Genomic DNA, 13,500 nt, shown 5'->3' with positions numbered 1-13,500 from the left:
ACGGTAAAACCCCGTCTCTACTAATACACACACACAAAAAATTTGTCGGGCGTGGTGGCACGCGCCTGTAGTCCCAGCTACTTGGGAGGCTGAGGCAGAATAGCTTGAACCTGGGAGGCAGAGGTTGCGGTCAGCCGAGATTGCGCCACTGCACTCCAGCCTTGGCTACAGAACAAGATTCGGTCGAAATATATACATGTATATTGTTATTAGAGGGCTATGTGGAAGTAGCTATTAAACACGAGGGCTTTGAAGCTAGAATTCCAAACCCTTCTGCAAAGGTGTGCTCTCAGTTAACATCCTTTATCTGTAAGAGGGAAATCAAAATTATTTGATAATGTCTTGAGGAGTAAATGAAGCAATGCATATAAACTGTTTAGCCCAGACCGGTCTGAAAATACATATTGAATAATTTATTCTTATTTTGCCCATTATATAATATGCCAAAGTAAGTGATTACGGTGTGTTTTCCCCGACTATGTTGCCTAGGCTGGCCTCGAACTACTTGGACGAAGCGATCCTCAGCCTCCTGAGTAACTGGGACCACAGGCCGGCGCCACCCTAGCTTTAATTAAGGCCGTTTTGTTGTTGTTATTCCCCTGCTCCACACAAGGGGCGCTGCCGCTCCAAGGCTGCCAGGGCGGGAGTCAGGATGGCGGAAGTCTGTCTAGCCACGACCACCGCCATCATGGAATACAGGCCCACCTCACCCCGCGGGTGTAGCCGCTTCGTACTGTCGCTTAGGCCGACCCGCTCGCAGCGACAACCAGCCCTCTACCTCTTTTCGCTCTCCCTTAAGTAATAAACCGTCTTTCCTTATGACGAGTCTTAAACTCTTTGGGAGGAATAATGCCGGCGTCTTCCGGAACCCGACCTCGCCCCGTGACCTCAGAGGTATACTTCCGGGACACGGAAGTGACCCCCGTCGCTCCGCCCCCTCCCACTCTCTCTTTCCGGTGTGGAGTCTGGAGACGACGTGCAGGTAGGAGGCCCGGGCGCGACAATCGGGGGGCATCCTGCGGCGAGGGGACCCTGTGGGGCTTGGGACGAGAGACGGGGGTCTTTCCGTGGGAACCGAGCTAGGTGCCGGGCAAGAGACGCGCGGCTGGCCCACCTGGATCCTGGCCAACTCGGGATTGAGTTCGTTCCTGGTCTCAGAAGGCCCGTTTTGCTTTCAGGGAGGAGCTTGTGAAGTAAGGGTGAGTGCGGGTCCAGCCTTTTAAGGCCTCGGCCCCGCAATACGGCCACGGCCACGGCCGCGTTTGAGCTGCACAGCGTAGTTGAGGGAACCCGGGACAGACGTGGGCTCCCGCCTCTACCTCGCCAAACTTTTTTCTTGGTGATCGCAGGCCCACGCCTAATCTCGTTTGTTTCCTCGTTTGCAAAATAGGAATAACAATAGCACCGATCCCATGGGTTTGTAGTGATCATTCAAAGAAGGAAAGCAGGGAAAACTCTCGCACTATGTTGGATGCTTCTAAATCTGGGCGATTCTTTCCGTTGCTGAGTCGGGCACGTTGCAAGTTCTGGGCGCTCAGGGCCCAGCACCAATGTTTGCTGTGCGCTTGCCCTGCGTTTATATACTCCTGATGACCACTCTGCTCGTTACTTTAGGGGATGTTAGGAACGGAGAAACTGCAAATTGGCATTTACTGAATGGCCATCATGCCGAAACATACTCATGCTTACGTATTTGAGATATGCTGGAGCCTTTCTATGCTTCTCGAGGCAGAACTTTGGGCTTCTCTCCTGTGGCGCGTTCCTTACAATAGTTAACGCACTGGGTCGTGCTCATTGGTCTGATTTGAAGATAGGAACATTTAACTTCGTACACCCAAGACTTACACTTGAAGTACTTACTGTGGTCACACACTTAACTAAAGTTTATATAGGGAAGGCAGAGGAGAGATCTAGGAACACCTGAGACAGACTAGGGTAGTTATTTGTGGTGTAGAGGCATCTTGGCAGGAGGCAGAGAGTGCTGGGCTGGGAGTCAGGACACGTTGTTTCTATGTTTGGTTTTGCCACTGTCTTTACTGTGACCATAGGCTGAGACACTCTCTATCTTCACCATCTGCAGGATATCGATTAGTGTTAGTGTCTTCTGAAAATGTTAAATTGTTCTGAACACCAGGAGGTTCAGAAGGCCTGGGGCTTTAGGCCGGAAGCAGTCTTATCCTAGCCTTCCACTTTCTCATTCATTCTCACCCGCCTTCCTCCTGTCAGTTTCTCTCTCCCTTAGATCTTGTGACAGTATGATTGCAATTATTATGAAGGTCATAATAGGTTAGAGTTATTTAGTCTCAGGACCCATCAGATTTCTGAGATGGGTCTTTTCCATTAGCCTGCCTTTTGGATATATTTTAGTGCCTTTGATATTTGATGTTGGTGACAAAGATTTAGTTCTAAATAGTTGTGGGAGTCAAATCAGTTGCATTTTTGAACATTTTGAAGGGATCAGGTGGAGCACAGGAAAACAGGAGATGAGAGGCTTGAGGGCTGTGTTGGTAAGGGTCCCTTGAATTCTAAGCTGAGGAGTTCATGCAGGAATCAAGCAGCTCCCTCGCCCCATGAAGGGTGTTAGGAATGGTACCAGTACATGGGTAGCTGTTGGTCTTGGGTTTCTTCTTGCCTTTTGGGGTGCAGCCTTCAGGCATCTGCTGCTAGATCCCTAGGCTTCTATCTTGTAGGTGCTGTGAGCTGAGCTGTTGGTAGTTTCTGGGGAAAGGATACTTCTCATGGTACTTTGCCATGTGGCCACAGTTGATACCCCCCCAAGTGCAAGGAGAAAGAAGTTTTAGTGAGGCAGAAATGAGAGAATACAGTAGAGTATTGGATGGAAGAAGACAGGGACATGAAGCAGGACTAGGGTTTCATTTAATAGCCAGGGGAAAGGGATTCTGGAAATGTTTTGTCTGTTAACCTTGAGTTTCTTTTCCTTCCACTCAGAAATGGCACCTCGAAAGGGGAAGGAAAAGAAGGAAGAACAGGTCATCAGCCTCGGACCTCAGGTGGCTGAAGGAGAGAATGTATTTGGTGTCTGCCATATCTTTGCATCCTTCAATGACACTTTTGTCCATGTCACTGATCTTTCTGGCAAGTGAGTACCTGGGTGGAGAGGCATCCAGCTGGCAAAAGGCTGAGGAAGGCAATGGCTGGGACGGGCTAGCAGTTCAGGGGATTCTCTCTAAAGAAATGCTGTTTTGTCCAGGTAAGAAAATGTGCTTGTCCATTTAGCCCACAAATATTGTGATTTCCCAGGGGTTACAAGAGAGGAGACACATTCTTCGTCCTTACAGCGTGATGGTCATTGAATCCTTGGTTTCTTGGGAATTATCTTCTTTCCCTAGTTCCCTTTGCAGGAGCAGCAGTGGACTGCAAGTGGGCTCTGGGTGCGGGTTCGACGGCCATTTAGCAAGTTGTGACTTGTGTGAAATCACTCAGATTCTGAGTTTTGGTTTCCTCATATGTAAAATTAGGACAGTAATGTCTACCTTGTGGAGTAATGGTAAGGATTAAATGCAAAAGTAGATATATAAAATGTTAATACTGAGTATAGCTATATTGGGCCATTCAACCCCACTGGACTGAACTCCATGAGGGCAGAGCCCATGACCATCATCCTCCACCATGACTGAGCTGTGTTGCTCTTCACTCATTAGGATATCGTAAGCACTCCTTGTTGGACGAGGAAGAAATGACCCTGTGCTTTTGTCCCCAGGGAAACCATCTGCCGTGTGACTGGTGGGATGAAGGTAAAGGCAGACCGAGATGAATCCTCACCATATGCTGCTATGTTGGCTGCCCAGGATGTGGCCCAGAGGTGCAAGGAGCTGGGTATCACCGCCCTACACATCAAACTCCGGGCCACAGGAGGAAATAGGTACGAGTCGCAGAGGGGATGGCTGGGTGGTAGAAAACCTGCTGGGCTTGGGTGCTGGAGCACCTGGATTTGAGGTTTGGGTTTTTTGTTGTGACCTTGAACAAGATATTTTAGGCATATACATACTTAATAATTGGCTCCTGTGTACACCCCCCAGCAGCTCAGTGTTGAGCACCCACTGTATACTAGGAGCTGTGTTTCAGGTACTAGAAGAGAGTGATGGGGAAACAGACATGGTCTCTACCCTCCTTGTGTGGGACCGAGGCTGGTGGGAGAGTCAGACTTTAAACAACAGAGCACCAGGGAGTATGTGGTTTTCATTTGTGACAAATGCCAGGAAGCACAAGTAAGGAGTTGGTGATAAAGTGTAATTTAAACTAGGGTCTAAATGATAAGTCCGGAGTCCTTCCAGTGAAATAAGGACAGGAGGAGGGTATTCCAGCTAGAGACAACTGCAGGGAAAGGTCTTGAGGTGGGGGTGAACCTGGGCACCTGTGAAGGAAAGAGTGGCATGAGGTGCAGTCAGAGGGGAAGAGGTGGAGTCCTGTAGGAGAGGGGAAGGACCTGGATTTGAGTGATGGGGGCATGAAAGCTGAAATAGATGACTGTTGCGTGAACAAGCCAGACAGTGGTCAGAACATAACAACAAACCATAGTGGCCCCCTCAGCCTAAAATATTTACTGTCTGGCTTTTTTTTTTTTCCTCTTTTTTGAGACAGGGTCTCACTCTCACCCAGGCTGGAGTGCAGTGGCGCTATCTCAGCTTACTGCAGTCTCTGGCTTTCAGGCTCTAGCAGTCCTCCCACCTCAGCCTCCCGAGTAGCTGGGACTGCTAGTAGTAGTGCCACCACGCCTGGCTAAATTGTGTATTTTTGTAGAGATGGGGTTTCACCATGTTGCTCAGGCTGGTCTTGAACTCCTGAGCTGAAGCAGTCCGCCCTGCCTTAGCCTCCCAAGGTGCTGAGATTATGGGTGTGAACCACTGTGTACAGCCCTGTCTGGCTCTTTACAGAAAGTTTGCAGACCTCTGAACTAGCGGGGTGTTGGGATCTTAGAAAGGAGATCTTCCATTGACTTGGCCAAAGGCTCTTCTTAACTTAAACCTTCATTTTCTAGGACCAAGACCCCTGGACCTGGGGCCCAGTCGGCCCTCAGAGCCCTTGCCCGCTCGGGTATGAAGATCGGGCGGATTGGTAAGTGCCCCCCTCTAGCTAATGCTTGGGTTTATTTTGAAGCATTGGCCCCAAAAAGCACGTGCTGTGCCCAGTGGATGTGCAGCGGCTGGTCTGGTCACTTTTGGCAGTTAAGTTTGTTAAGGGAGGCTGCAAGAGGCACCTTGTGACTTAAAAATCTCTCCCTGAATATCTCTGTCACCTTGATATGAATGTCCTGTTTCATTTGTGAATCTCTGTCCTACACTGCCTGGTGCAGGTAAAACTGACAAGAGATGAATTGTCCTTTCCTCCATTCTTGAGGTCATTGCTATTAGCATTTTGTGTGTACCATCTCCTGCATTGTAGGATGTTCAGCATTTTTGGTTTCCGCCTACTAAATATCAGTTGGGCATGCCAGTCGTGTGACAGCCAAAAATGAAGTGGGGGGTACCAGCTTCTGTTATTAATACCCTCAGGCCTGTGATCTCCTGGCTCCTTACAGCTCTTAGGAAGGGAACAGTAGTCTTTCCCTGCACATTGTTCTGTGCAGTTAGTAGCGACATACACTGACGCCCCAGGCCAAAGTTCCTACTGTGTCCTACTTGAAGGATGATTTTGTTTTCTTGAGACAGGGTCTGGCTCTGTTGCGTGGGCTGGAATTCAGTGGCACAATCTCAGCTCACTGTAAATTTCGCCTCGTGGGCGGATCTGTCCAAAGGATCCTCCCACCTGCATCTACTGAGTAGCTGGGACAACAGTGTGTGCCACACCGGGCTTTTTTTTTTTGTAGCGGGGAGTTTCACCATGTTGCCCAGGTTGGTCCCAAACTCCTGGCCTCAGGCGTTCCACCAGCCTCAGTCTCCCAAAGCCCAAAGTGCTAGGATTACAGGCATGAGCCACCGCGCCCAGCCTTAAAAGATTTTTTCAGACTTTTTTTCAGTGTCTTTTTACTTAATGAAAACGAGACAGTTGCAGTTACCCTGTCTAAAAGGGTTTTTTCCTCTAGAGAAGACGGTGGGCTAGATGTCAGAACCTGGATTTGTCCTGTGCCTCTGACATCTTGCGCACAGCTCAGCCTGTTTCCCTTTCTGGAAAGTGAGTTAAGACCACGTCAGGAAATTCGAGGAACTGGCAGATGGGGCCACTTCATGTTCACATCCATCTGTTAGGTACTGGGGAGTCATTTGGGGAGCAGCAGGATCTGTTGCTGATTGGTTAGGCCATTGGTCTAGGGAGTCCTGGGGGCCCTTCCCATCCAGCTCCAGGCAATGACGCTTTCTCTTCCTCCCCACAGAGGATGTCACCCCCATCCCCTCTGACAGCACTCGCAGGAAGGGGGGTCGCCGTGGTCGCCGTCTGTGAACAAGATTCCTCAAAATATTTTCTGTTAATAAATTGCCTTCATGTAAACTGTTTCAACTCCAGCCTTCTCTCCTTCATCAGGGGCTACTCAGGCATTTGATTTCTTCCTCCTATTTGGCTTCTTGGGAGAAAGGAGCCTGAGGAGAGCTGAGATCCTGGTGCTGCATTTGGGGTCTTTTCCATGCTACTTGCGGCATTAAGTTGCCTTGGTCATCTAAAGCAGACCAAGGCGTTGGAGACCTCGTTTTGAGTGGAGATGCTGGTTCTAAATATGGACCAATTCTTAAAGAGCCAGAGTGGGAACTGTTGATCCAAGTGTAGCCTGAAGCGAAAGAGGAGCCTTCCAGACCCATGCCATATATAAACACACGTGGGTGTGCATTCTCCCCCCACACCTTCTGTGCAAAGCTGGGAGCTCACTCCACTGCGTCTTGCTTTTTTTCACTTGGCAGATCTTGGAGATTGTTCCACATCAGTACATAAAGTACATAAAGATTGTCACCCCACAAATACACACCAAGTCCTATTTTCATCAGCGATAAAAAAGAAAAGTTCTTGCTTTCCGGAAGCTTGCATGCGGCTCTGAGTACCCAGTGACACCAGATGGTACTCAGCGTTTTGCAAGGGATTACCACAAGGCCCCGTGATGGTGCCTGCCATGGTTAGGACAGGCTGGTGGCTGGGTAGGGTTAGTGAGACCCAGTGGAGAGGATGCTGTGTGTCACAGGCTGGAGAGGTGAGACCATTGAGGTAGTCAGTTGTAGAGGAAAGAAACCAGCAAGAGGGGAAAATCTGTTGGGATGCTGCTTTTAGCCTTTGATGGCGTGTTCCAGGCAGAGGGAATAAGCAAATAAATGGGTCCTGAGACAAGGGGTTACTGTGATGAGGCGGCGTTGGTTACATGCCAAACCTTGCTAGGGATTTTAATAACAACATTGAATCTTAACCTGATGAAATAACAGTACTCCTGGGGAGGCGGGAGGGATAGCATTAGGAGATATACCTAATGCTAAATGACGAGTTAATGGGTGCAGCACACCAACATGGCACATGTATACATATGTAACAAACCTGCACGTTGTGCACATGTACCCTAAAACTTAAAGTATAATAAAAAAAAAAAGCTTGCAAAAAAAATATAACAGTACTCCTTAAATTGTTAAAAGTCATGAAAGTCAAGGACAGGAGATTAAGGAGGCGTGAAAACTAAATGCCCATTGTGGTATCCTGGATTGGATTCTGGAACCAGAATAGGGTATTAGTATAAAAACTAGTGAAATAGGATAAAGGCAGGGCACAGTGGTTCACGCCTATAATCCCAACACTTTGGGAAGCCGAGACAGGAGGACGGATTGAGCCCAGGAGTTTGAGACCAGCCTGGGCAACACAGGGAGACCCCGTCTCTACAAAAAATAAAAAATTAGCTGGGCATGGTGGCACACGTCTGTACTGCCAGCTACTTGGGAGGCTGAGGTGGGAGAATTGCCTGAGCCTGGGAAGTGGAGGCCGCAGTGAGCTGTGATTGCATCACTACATTCAGCCTGGGTCACAGAGCAAGATCCTATCTCAAAAACTAAATAAGTAAATAATAAATTAAAAAATATGAATAAAGTCTGGAGTTAAAGTCTGGAATAAAGCTAGTAGTAATGTACCAGTGGTTTCCTACTTTTGGCAAATGTATCATGGCGATGTAAGATGGTAACAGGTGAAACCGGGTGAGTGGCACACAGAAACTGTATCTTTGCAACTTTTTGGTAAACTTAAAATTATTCCAAAGTCAAATTATTAGGGAAAAAAAATGAGGGGTGCTTTTATACTGTCAGTCTGGCAGTCTAAGGCAGGATGTGGTGCACAGACCCTCAGGAGGCAGACACACCTGGAGGAAAATCCTATTCCACAGCTTCAGACCGTTCAACCTTAGGCAAAGTACTTAACCTCTCAGCCGTTTAGTGGAAACTCCTGTGATGATGGCTGCCTCAAATGGAATCACACAAGATCAAAGTGTTTAGCGCAGTGCCTGGCACTGAAGAAGCTGCTGCTATTCTTACACTGGTGCAGGTCTTGTGCCAAGCAGCATAAAGGACAGCTGGCTGGAATCGTGGTAGAAAAATGCTGCCAGTCGCCGGAGCATTCTTTTTATTTCCTGTGGTGAGACTGTAACTTGTCCTGCTCTTTCCTGGTAACCAGGGATGCAATCAGCCGGGTCTTTGAAAGCAGTTCCTTTCGGGGGTTTTGCCTGAAAGGAGAGCCAAGTTGTGGTGTGGCTCAGGTGGGAACGTAGCAGCCTATTGACCGCAGAGGCGGCTGGGCTGCTGCCCACCTGAGACTGCAGCCTGCAGCAGAGGCGCCTGAAGCTGCGACTGCAGCCCCAACCAGACCTCTAGAGACAGTCGCTGCCCCTCTCCCCTGCTCCCCTTCTGGCCGCCTTCCCATGCCAAGGTTTCCTTCCTAGCGTTTCCCAGTCTTCCCTCTGGCCTCTGCCTATCTCTAGACCACATTGCAACATGCCATCTAAAACTAACTGGATTCTGTCACTCCCTGCTGTTTTCTTTGAGACGGAGTTTCGCTCTGTCACCCAGGGTGGAGTGCAATGGCATGATCTCAGGCTCACTGCAATCTCTGCCTCCTGGGTTGGAGAGATTCTCCTGCCTCAGCCTCCCAAGTGGCTGGGATTACAGGTGCCCGCCACCATGCCTGGCTCATTTTTGTAGAGTTTCACCATATTGGCCAGGCAGGTCTCAAACTCCTAACCTCAGGTGATCCGCCTGCCTCGGCTTCCCAAAGTGCTGGGGTTACAGGCATGAGCCGCCACGCCTGGCCCTCCCCTGCTGTTTTATCACTGCCCTCCCTGTTGTCTTTAGAATAGGATCCAATCTCCTCAGTGAATCTCCTGTGTTTTAGCTGGCCCCACCCCATCCTCCGCCCTCCTCTCACTCTGCCCAAGCCAAGCCTGTTTCCCTCAGTTCTCCCCTCCTCCATGCCTTCTCATGCTTTCAGCCTCTCCTCTGTGTCTTCCTTCCCAGCTTGGCTCATGGAGCATCTACTCTCCCCAACTTGGCCTCACTATCATCTGCTTACCTGTTAGAATCTGTTTTGTTTTTTTTTGTTGTTGTTTTTGAGACTGGGTCTCACTCTGTTGCCCAGGCTGGAGTGCAGTGGCACAATCACGGCTCACTGCAGCCTTGACCTCCTGGGTTCAAGTGATCCTCCTCCGCCTCAGCCTCCTGAGTAGCTGGGACTACAAGTGTGCATCACCACACCCACCTATTTTTAAATTTTTTGTAGAGACTGGGTCTCCCTGTGCCGCCCAGGCTGGTCTCGAACTCCTGGACTCAAGTGACCCTCCTGCCTTGGCCTCCCAAAGTGCTGGGATTTACAGGCATGAGCCACCGTGCCTGGCCTGGAATCAATTTTTCATCACTGTCTCAAAAGTATCTTCCTGGAGGCTAGGCGCAGTGGCTGACACCTGTAATTCCAGCACTTTGGGAGGCCGAGGCGGGTGGATCACCTGACGTCAGAAGTTTGAGATCAAAAGGTATCTTCCTGGATGCCTTCAAGGTACCTCTCCACTGAATTCTCATAACACCTCTATTCCCCCATGGTACCACTGGTCACCCTCTATCACAACAGCCTACTCACCCCCGCACCGCCAAAGTCTATGAGCCCTGAGAGGGAAGGGAGTATGTCTTGTTCAATGTCTGCCACATCAGCACCCAGCCTGCTGAGGCAGAAGAATCGCTTGAACCCGGGAGGCGGAGGTTGCAGTGAGCCGAGATCATGCCATTGCACTCCAGCCTGGGCAAACGAGCAAAACTCCATCTAAAAAAAAAAAAAGAAGAAGAAAGGAAAAAAGAAAAAACCGAATGGAAAGCTGCAGGCGAAGAATGGTGGAGAATCCTGGAGAGCGGCTGGGAGGTTATACCTAGGTTCTATCACTCCCCATCCCCAACCCCAAACAAAGTGAGGGAGCTGAACTTGACATTCACATTAAGCCCTAAATACTCTGATTTCTGGGCTAGCACGAGCCCAGGTAGGAGTGTCCTTGAGCTCTTCGCAGAAGTTAAAGCACATCCTCTCTGAGTAAAGCCCTTGACAACGGAATCCCTCCAGTTTCCCACACATTAGGTAAAACCAAATATGGGCCCACTCCCTGCCCTCTCAGAGCTCATAGAAAAAAATCAACACACACGCAAATAAACCACCAGAATGAGAGGCAGCAGAAACAACAAACAGATTTAGATACCCAAAAGACTTCTGATGATATTAGAATTAGAATATAACTACATATGAAATGTTGAAAGAAATATGCAATGGAACAAAAAGAGTGGACAAAACCTATTAAAAAAATCATGTATATTCAAAATGGAACCAGAGAAAACCCTCAGAAAGAAAAACACGTATGATCAATGAAATGAAATGCTCAGTGGATAGGTTAAATGGCAGATTAGAGCCAGCTGCAAGAAGAGTTACTGGCCAGGTGAAGTGGCTCACGCCTGTAATCTCAGCACTTTGGGAGGCCGAGGGGGGCGGATCACGAGGTCAGGAGTTTGAGACCAGCCTAACCAACATGGTGAAACCCCATCTCTGCTAAAAATACAAAAATTAGCTGGGCCTGGTGGCGCGTGCCTATAGTCCCAGCTACTCAGGAGGCTGAGGTAGGAGAATCGCTCAAACCCGGGAGGTGGAGGTTGCAGTGAGCCAAGATCGTGCTATTGCACTCCAGCCTGGGTGACAGAGCAAGACTCTGTCTCAAAAAAAAAAAAAAAAAGTTACTGAACTGCAAAATAAATCTGAAGAAATTACAAAACAGAGAAGATTCCAAGAGGATTTGGAACTGAAGACAATTCTGCCTGAGGGAGCACCGGCCTTGCCAGCCCCTCTGGTGCCCAGTGAGCCTCCATTCACCTGGGGGACCTTGCAGTGACCCCTGTTGTCCAGAGAGGGCACTAGCAAGGCCATCCTCAATCTCTTGGTGCAGGATCAGGAAAACCTTTCCCAAGATGTGGCTGCAAAGGAGGGTTATTTACTTTAAATGGGCCAAAAAGGAAAACGTATAAGGGATTTCAAATAGGTAAAGTTCTGTCTCAGGGAAGAGGCAGCAGTGTCGTTATGTGTGGTCCTACGATGGTAGAAGTTGGCTAGGGAAGGAGTTGTAGAGAGGTAGACTTGACATCAAATAAACAGGGGTCTCCTTCCTTCCTTCCTTCCTTCCTTCCTTCCTTCCTTCCTTTCTTCCTTCCTTCTTTTCTTTTTCTTTCTTCCCTTCTTTATTTATGTTTATTTTTTTTGAAGACAAGACCTCTGCCCAGACTGGAGTGCAGTAGTGTGATTGTAGCTCACTGCAGCCTCCACCTCCCAGGGTCAAGCAGTCCTCCCACCTCAGCCTGCTGAGTAGCTGGGACTACAGGTGTGCATCACCATTCCCAACTAATTTTTTCCCCACTTTTTGTAGAGATAGGGTCTCACAATGTTGCCCAGGCTGGTCTCGAACTCCTGGGGTCAAGCAATCATCCCACTTTGGCTTCCCAAAGTACTGGGATTACAGTTGTGAGCCACTATCCCTGGCCTAAAGAGGAGTTTTTTATTTTTATTTTTATTTTTTTGAGACAGAGTCTTGCTCTTGTTGCCCAGGTTGGAGTGCAATGGCACCATCTCTGCTCACTGCAACCTCCGCCTCCCAGGTTCAAGCAATTCTCCTGCCGCAGCCTCCTGAGTAGCTGGGATTAACAGGCACCTGACACCACACCCGACTAATTTTTGTATTTTTAGTAGAGATGAGGTTTCATTATATTGGCCAGGCTGGTCTCGAATTCCTGACCTCAGGTGATCTGCCTGCCTCGGCCTTCCAAAGTGCTGGGATTACAGGCGTGAGCCCTGCGCCTGGCCTAAAAAGGAGTTTTCTAAAAGAGCTGCTCAGAGATTTAAACTGCTTCATGAGATAGTGATCTCTCCATCACTGGAGGCATACACGTGTAAAAGACTTCCAAAGGCTAGTTATATCAGAAACACATAAAAGAGAAAGGTGCAAGCAGTGAAATTCAAATGCTCCCAAACCAAACATACCATCTCTCTTCTCCCTTACTGAAAACAACAATAAAACCCACTAGAATTAGCACCAAAGAAATACAACGTAAGCCACAAAAGTGAACCACATATGTAATTTCAAATTTTCTAGTAGCCATATTAATAAAGTACCAAAAAGTGACATTAATTTTAATAATATATTTCATTTAACCCAATATGTCCAAAATATTTTCACTTCAACATATAATCAAAATAAAAATTATTAATAAGATGTTTTACTGTTTTTTTGTGGTAAGTTTGAGATTCATTGTACATTTACACTTATAGCACACTTCCATTTGGACTTGCCACATTTCAAGGACTCAACCACCATGTGGCAGAGATAATTGTGTCCCAGTATGCTTTCTCTTCATCTTCTATTGGAAATAGGAATCTCAATTTTTAGCTGCGTGTATGGCTGATCAGAATGAAGATGACATTTTATGGAGGATGGTCTGAGCAATATTAAAATAGAAAAAAAAGAAGAAACATAGAATTAAGAGAAACAAGGAATAAACAGTACAGTTTCCAGCCCCCTCCCAGGCAGCTAAGTGTCACTCACACAACTAAGTTGTGGCCAGTGAGAAGTAAGCAGAGTCATGAATGCAGTCTACAGTCTACAGGGAGAGTCTTGAAGAGGAGATGGCATGACCTTCTTCTCTTTCCTCTAGATACTCACTTTTAGATCTCTGCTGGAAACTGTCGCCTTATCAGACAAACTTCCCTGACATCACAGATCCATTAGCATCCCTCACCTCTGCCCATCATTCTCAAGCTATTTATCCATGTATGCGGCCAAATGTGTAGATCTTAGCCCAACTTGGTATTAACATCTATATCACCAAGTCAGTGGTTCTCAAACAAGTATGCATCAGATTCAGATTGCTGGGCTCCCACCCCGAGTTTCTGATTCAGTAGATCTGGGATGGAGGCCTGAATATCTGCCTGCCTGCCTGCCTGCCTGCCTGCCTGCCTTCCCTTCCTCCCTGCCTTCTTCCTTCTTTTCTTTCTTTCCTTTCTTTCTCTTTTCTTTCTTTC

General features: G+C 48.0%; 1 protein-coding gene across 3 annotated transcripts, besides 5 other annotated features; it reads left to right on the top strand.

Annotated features, from left to right (window-relative positions):
- Positions 491 to 1,429: an enhancer, noted in NCBI's record as "NANOG-H3K27ac-H3K4me1 hESC enhancer chr5:149828819-149829757 (GRCh37/hg19 assembly coordinates)". NCBI's record gives its function as "activates a minimal SCP1, AML or CMV promoter by ChIP-STARR-seq in naive and primed H9 embryonic stem cells {active_cell/tissue: H9 hESC(naive and primed)}" and the evidence as "EXISTENCE:reporter gene assay evidence [ECO:0000049][PMID:30033119]".
- Positions 558 to 877: an enhancer, noted in NCBI's record as "active region_23417". NCBI's record gives its function as "activates an Ori minimal core promoter by ATAC-STARR-seq in GM12878 lymphoblastoid cells {active_cell/tissue: GM12878}" and the evidence as "EXISTENCE:reporter gene assay evidence [ECO:0000049][PMID:35858748]".
- Positions 946 to 8,050, top strand: RPS14 (ribosomal protein S14). Of its 3 annotated transcripts, none has more exons than NM_005617.4 (5): positions 946 to 982; positions 2,950 to 3,100; positions 3,722 to 3,883; positions 5,000 to 5,076; positions 6,332 to 8,050. In NM_005617.4, exons 2-5 carry the CDS (start codon positions 2,952 to 2,954, stop codon positions 6,397 to 6,399), a joined length of 456 nt encoding a protein of 151 aa, NP_005608.1. In that variant the 5' UTR covers positions 946 to 982; positions 2,950 to 2,951; the 3' UTR covers positions 6,400 to 8,050. The 3 variants fall into 3 exon arrangements, with proteins under 3 accessions (NP_005608.1, NP_001020241.1, NP_001020242.1); NM_001025070.2 differs by having other exon boundaries at positions 946 to 1,193; NM_001025071.2 differs by having other exon boundaries at positions 946 to 1,199.
- Positions 8,013 to 8,213: a silencer, noted in NCBI's record as "peak5537 fragment used in MPRA reporter construct". NCBI's record gives its function as "represses an SCP1 promoter by STARR-seq MPRAs in K562 erythroleukemia cells {active_cell/tissue: K562}" and the evidence as "EXISTENCE:reporter gene assay evidence [ECO:0000049][PMID:32103011]".
- Positions 9,155 to 9,694: an enhancer, noted in NCBI's record as "NANOG-H3K27ac-H3K4me1 hESC enhancer chr5:149820554-149821093 (GRCh37/hg19 assembly coordinates)". NCBI's record gives its function as "activates a minimal SCP1, AML or CMV promoter by ChIP-STARR-seq in naive H9 embryonic stem cells {active_cell/tissue: H9 hESC(naive)}" and the evidence as "EXISTENCE:reporter gene assay evidence [ECO:0000049][PMID:30033119]".
- Positions 13,093 to 13,293: a silencer, noted in NCBI's record as "peak5536 fragment used in MPRA reporter construct". NCBI's record gives its function as "represses an SCP1 promoter by STARR-seq MPRAs in K562 erythroleukemia cells {active_cell/tissue: K562}" and the evidence as "EXISTENCE:reporter gene assay evidence [ECO:0000049][PMID:32103011]".

The sequence above is a fragment of the Homo sapiens genome, chromosome 5, assembly GCF_000001405.40.
Source record: "Homo sapiens chromosome 5, GRCh38.p14 Primary Assembly".
Classification (NCBI taxonomy): domain Eukaryota; kingdom Metazoa; phylum Chordata; class Mammalia; order Primates; family Hominidae; genus Homo; species Homo sapiens.
Note: the sequence above shows the minus strand (reverse complement) of the source record. Positions and strands in the feature narration are given on the sequence as shown.